We start from the raw sequence: 6,000 nt of genomic DNA on the forward strand, positions 1-6,000 counted from the left end.
TTTTTAAAAAATTAGCAGGGCACAATGGTGAGAGTAAGGAGGCTGAGGTGGGAGTTTCGCCTGAGCCCAGGAGTTCAAGGCTGCCGTGATTGTGCCACTGCACTTCAGTCTGGCCAACAGAGCAAGACCCTGTCTCTACGAAACAGACAAATATACAAAACACCTTGCCTTCAGTCCATTCTCCACATAGCAGGAAGGATTAAAAATGAAAATCAGATCATGTTCATCTTCTGCTTAAGCCCTCTAAAGGCTTCCATCTCACTCCAGGTAAACTCAAAAGTCTTTATTATTTTTATTTTATTTTGAGGCAGAGTCTTATGCTGCCACCCAGGCTGGAGTACAGTGGCACAATCTCAGCTCACTGCAACCTCCACCTCCCGGGTTCAAGCGATTCTCCTGCCTCAGCCTCCAGAGTAGCTGGGATTACAGGCATGTGCCACCACACCTGGCTAATTTTTGTATTTTTAGTTGAGACGAGGTTTCACCATGTTGGCTAGGCTGGTCTCGAACTCCTGACCTCAGGTGATCCGCCCACCTTGGCCTCTCAAAGTGCTGGGATTACAGGCCTGAGCCACTGTGCCTGGTCTAAACTCCAGAGTCTTTACAATCACCACCAAGGCCCTACCCAATCTGACCCACCACTCCTCCCTTGCTCCCATATCTCCATCCACACAGGACTTTTTGCCCTTCCTGGAGCACCCCAGCCACACTCCCAACTCCAGGCCTTTGCACACGCTGTTCCCTCATGCTGTTCCCTCTGCCTTAACAGTTCTGCCCCTGGATATCCACCTGGCTCACTCCTTTGCTGTTTTCACATTCCTTTGATGTCACTGTCTCGAGGACACTTTCCCTGACTCCCTTTAACTGACCTCTATTCCCCTCTGTGGCACATTTTCCTTCTCACTGTTAATCTTCATCTTCTGAAATACGCATCTGATTACACCACTCCCCAGTTTCATGCCCTTTCCTTGGCCTCAGAATAAAGTCCACATTTGTTATTGAGGTTTGTGAGGCCCTGCCTGACGTGGCCTGGCCTGGCCTGGCCAGGCCGTCTTGCTGCTCTCTCCCCAACAGCTACCCTACAGGCTCATCAGGCAATCTTCCTGCTCGATGTTGCCAAGCCACTGCATTCTTCTGGATGTTTTTAAACCCAGGTGTCTTTGACTGCCTGGTATTCACCATCTAGTCTTTGAAATACTTGATTCAAATGTCACTTCCTCCAGGGAATCTTCCTTGACATATCTACGAGGTGATGATGATGATGATAACGATGATGATAATAATAGCAGCTAAGGCCGGGCATGGTAACTCACCCCTGTGATCCCAGCATTTTGGGAGGCAGAGGTAGGCAAATCACCTGAGGTCAGGAGTTTGAGACCAGCCTGGCCAACATGGTGAAACCACGTCTCTTCTAAAAATACAAAAATTAGTTGGGCATGGTGGCACACGCCTGTCATCTCAGCTACTTGGGAGGCTGAGACACGAGAATTGCTTGAACCCGATAGGTGGAGGTTGCAGTGAGCCGAGATTGCGCCACTGCACTCCAGCCTGGGTGACAGAGTGAGACTCTGTCTCAAAATAAATAAATAAAATAATAATAATAATAATAGCAGCTAATGTGTATTGTGTTCTGTGAGCCAGGTTCTGTGCTAAACAGTTTACCTGCACTTTCTCTTTTAATCCTCATTACATCCCTAGGAGGTAGGTATTCATTATAATAATTATAATCGTTACAGATGGGAAAACCAAGGCCCTCTCAGCTATTAAGTTGTAGAATCAGATTCAGTCCAGGCCTAGCCAACTCCAAAGTCCGAGCTCTTGACTGTACTTTGTCTTCTAGGTTCTCATGGGGTCTATTGAGCTTTATGATTCCAACTATTCCATCTATTGACCACTACGAGTCAAACAAGATCTGTTGACCACGGTGTGCCAGGGGTTTCAAAGAAGAACACAACTTCATTCCTGCCCTATAGGAGCTCATGGTCCCATGGAGAATTCAGGGTCCTGAAGTGTCCCATGTGCCATGATGGAAATCCATACGGGTTGCAAAATGGCATCAGGGAGGGAGGGTCCAGTTCTGTGGATGGCTGTCCCCAGCCTCGGCTGCCTACCCATCACCTTCTAGACCCAAAAGTGGGTGCCTGCTTCCACCTCATCCTGTGTCCTCTAGCTGGGACTGTATCACCACGAGGCTAGTGCTATTACTACTCCCAGCTTCTGGACTTCCTAACGGGTGACCAGCAGGAGACCAGGCTGTCTGCAAGCCACTTGTAAGGTATCCTATGGGCAGGACAGTCCCCAGATTCGAGCTAGGTCACATGAGAAAAACAGCAGTTAGAGCAACTTTCCTCTATGAAGCCTTCAAAGGATGCCAGGCACTAGTTTGGCTCTTTACATGTAAAACCTCAATCACCCTTGGGACAGACCACCCTATGGGGTAGGTGTCATTCATTCTGCTTCCATGGAAAGGGCGCTAGGCTCAGAGACAGATGCTAACTAACTTGCCTGAGGCTACACAGTCAGTTTGTGTGGGAGCCAGTATTTGAACTTAGATCTGGCTGTACTTACTCCTAAATCATCACACCATAGTTAGTGTTGTGTATATTAAATACTTATCAGGTGAAAGTACAAGAAGGTCTGGGTTTGACAGTGAAAGGGGAACAGAAGACCCCACCCTCCCTCCACACACAGGTACACGGTCCCTCATCAGCCACAGAGAACGCTGCTGTGGGCACTGGGGGCTGGAGCATCCCTGGCTGGCCTAGTGACCCAGTGGATGGACAGCCTGTCCCACGTGCCTACCCTGGAGGCAAAAGCTAGCCAGGCTTGCTTTAGCCCCTCTTCTCTCTTCTGTGTGCCTCACCTCTGCCATCCTTCTTGAGGAATTCCCTGAATTGCTCTGAGCCTCAGTTTTCCCATCGGAAAAGTAAAAATAATATCTACCTCCGAGGATGGCTGGGTCGTGAGGCTTCCAGAATAATGCGGTGCCTGGCACAAAGAAGTTGCTGAATAAATATAGGCTTTTATGATGATTGGATTATGCCCAGGGACCTTTACAGCTCTTTAAACTGTGAGTCCAAGACTAGGAAAATATCCTGGGGGCGATTTCTGGACCTTCTCTTCCCTGCTTCGGTTGGAGTCGTGGGCGGTGAGGTTTGGTGGTTGGGTCCTACGGCGAGGAATTTTGTACCTGACACCTTACTCATCAGTAGAGGTGGGAAAACAACAACAACAACAACAACAACAAAACAACAACAAAACAACAACCACCACCAAAAGAAAGCCGTCTTGTTAGAAAGCAGGGCACAGGCGACCAGAGCTCCGTCCCACCAGAGGCCTGGCAGGAACGGGAAGGGACATCAATCGGTCCCACTTTCCCTGCTGTCCACACTTTAGGGTCAAGTGTGGTTTTCACGCAGGGATCAGTGCTTTCTTTAGGAAACATTAAAAAGCACTTTATTAAAAAATATGCAGTATCAAACTGCCGCTGTCTTTTTTCTCCAGTTCTCCTGAAGCTGGAAGCATTAGGAAACTGGATTCGTTTCCTGCGGGAGAGGAATATCAAAGACCCGGTTCTGTTCAGTCCTGGGAAGAAGCAAACTGGGGGCGCGTAGGCAGGGCCGATTCGCACCCGGCTCGGGTGGCTGCGGACCCCGTGCCTGTCCCAGGAGCTCCGGGTCCGAGGGTAGGCGCGGCCCGGCCCGGGGAGCCCTCTTCCCCCTCCCTCCCGCGGCCCCGCGCCCTTACCTGGAGCGGCCTGCAGCAGGCACAGGAGCAGGGGGCCCCAGCGCTCGGGCCCCGCCATGGCCTTCCTGCCGCGGCGTCCCCGCCCGGGCCCAGGTCCCCGCCTCCCGCCTCCCGCCTCCCGTCTCCTAGCCCACCGCGGGCAGGTGACGCAGTCGGCAGCCAATGGCCCGCAGAGCCGCGGGCCCGTCCCTGCCGCCTAGGATTCACTGAGAAGGTCCCTGGGGACAGCCCCGCCGCGGGGGGAGGGGGGGGGGGGAGCGCGCCGGTCCCCGCGCTCGAAACTCGCCCGTACCTCTGCTTCATCTGCACTTAGTTTTGTTTTACTCAATTCCCGGAAAAAAAAATCAGTAAATCCGTGCACGGGGGAAGGGCAGGGGAGGGGAAGAAACCGGCTGATGATCAATAACCCACGGCCAGTCCAGTGCTCCAGGACGGGCCATTTTGGCAGGATTAGGGAGAGTTCAAGGCCGGTTTGGCTACGCGGCCTCAATGCCATTGGCGGGATCCGAGCGCGTTTCTGAGCCGGATGCTGAGCTCCGCGCCTTACACACGCGATTCCCTTTAATGCCCCCGGGGATCCCGGCGGATCCGTGCTGCCCTTCTCCACGTACTTCTCTCCCGGGGAGCGGCAGGCCCCAGAGCTTCAGGTGCTTGTTCTGGGGAAAGCTGTCTTTCTGACCCCGAAGGCTGTGGTGTTCACCTGGACAGCAGTAGCTTCCCAGTAAGGCACACGCCACGACGCGCAATATTATGCGGCCCTTTAGGAGGACGTTGCCGAATGGTGTGTATCGACACCGAGGTGTTTGCAACACACTGAGAAACAGAAAAGCGAGTGCTAAAACATAGGCCCATTAAAAAAGTGTGTGTGTAGCCGGGCGCGGTGGCTCACGCCTGTAATCCCAGCACTTTGGGAGGGTGAGGCGGGTGGATCGCCTGAGGTCAGGAGTTGGAGACAAGCCTGGCCAACATGGTGAAACCCCGTCTCTACTAAAAATACAGAAAATCAGCCGGGCGTGGTGGCATTCACCTGTAATCCCAGCTATCAGGGAGGCTGAGGCAGGAGAATCGCTTGAACCCAGGAGGCGGAGGTTGCAGTGAGCCGAGATCGCGCCACTGCACTCCAGCCTGGGCGACAGAGTGAAACTCAGTTTCAAAAAAAAAAAAAAAAGTGTGTGTGTGTGTGTGTGTGTGTGTGTGTGAGTCTGTCTGTATGCATAGAAAGATATTTGGAATAATAATTACCAAAATATTAATGGTTGTTGTCTTTGGGTGATGAGGATTTTCTTTTTCAACTTTCTTCTTTTCTGATCATATTTCGTTTCCAATTTTTTGATAATTATTTGAAACTGGGATCAGCTTTGGTCCCATCAGTTTTTGGAAGAGAAAATGATTTTCACAGAGCTTGGTGGGTCCAAAAGTTGCTCTGAGTTTAACCGCGGGGGAAATTTCTTTTGGAAATTTCAGGATGCTTCTGGGACTAGCATCAAGGCTTCTGCTTAATCAGGATTTTTTTTCTTTTTTTTTTTTTAGACAAAAGCTCTGTCGCCCAGGCTGGAATGCAATAGTGTGATCTTGGCTCACTGCAACCCCGCCTCCTGGGTTCAAGCTATTTTCTCACTTCAGCCTCCCAAGTAGTTGGGATTACAGGCACCTGCCATCATGCTCAGCTAATTTTTGTAGAGATGGGGTTTCACCATGTTGGGCAGGCTGGTCTTGAACTCCTGACCTCAGGTGACCTCAGCCTCCCAAAGTGCTGGGATTACAGGCATGAGCCACTGTGCCTGGCCTTAATTAGGATCTCTTAACAAAGCCCTGCTCACAGAGGACGCAATTCCACCTCAAAGGCGCAGGGTGGAGGAGGATGGAAGAGCAGCAGGCACGGTCAGTGTTGGTATCTTGGGATCTCTGAAATGTTGACTGTTGACTTTCTTTTCTCCTTCCTTCCTTCCTTTCTCTCTCTTTCTTTCTTTCTTTCTTTCTTTCTTTCTTTCTTTCTTTCTTTCTTTCCTTCCTTCCTTCCTTCCTTCCTTCCTTCCTTCCTTCTTTTTTCTCTCTCTTTCCTTCTTTCTTGCTTTCTTATTTTCTTGCTTTCTTTTTTTTTGACAAGAGTCTCACTCTGTCACCCAGGCTGGAGTGCAGTAGCGTGATCATGGTTCACTGCAACCTCTACCTACTGGTTCAAGCGATTCTCATGCCGCAGCCTGCCAAGTAGCTGGGACTACAGGCGTAAGCCACCATGCCCAGCTAATTTGT

General features: G+C 50.9%; 1 protein-coding gene across 3 annotated transcripts in view, besides 1 other annotated feature; it reads right to left on the reverse strand.

Moving 5' to 3' along the window:
- IFNLR1 (interferon lambda receptor 1) overlaps positions 1 to 3,846 on the reverse strand; it is a 33,122-nt gene extending 29,276 nt beyond the window's left edge. For all 3 annotated transcript variants that reach the window (NM_173065.3, NM_173064.3, NM_170743.4), the window contains exon 1: positions 3,748 to 3,846. In NM_173065.3, coding sequence (NP_775088.1) covers positions 3,748 to 3,805 — 58 coding nt within the window. In that variant the 5' untranslated portion in view covers positions 3,806 to 3,846. The remainder of the gene's footprint in view (positions 1 to 3,747) is intronic.
- Positions 3,619 to 4,108: a silencer, noted in NCBI's record as "silent region_431". NCBI's record gives its function as "represses an Ori minimal core promoter by ATAC-STARR-seq in GM12878 lymphoblastoid cells {active_cell/tissue: GM12878}" and the evidence as "EXISTENCE:reporter gene assay evidence [ECO:0000049][PMID:35858748]".

The sequence above is a fragment of the Homo sapiens genome, chromosome 1 (assembly GCF_000001405.40).
Source record: "Homo sapiens chromosome 1, GRCh38.p14 Primary Assembly".
Lineage (NCBI taxonomy): Eukaryota > Metazoa > Chordata > Mammalia > Primates > Hominidae > Homo > Homo sapiens.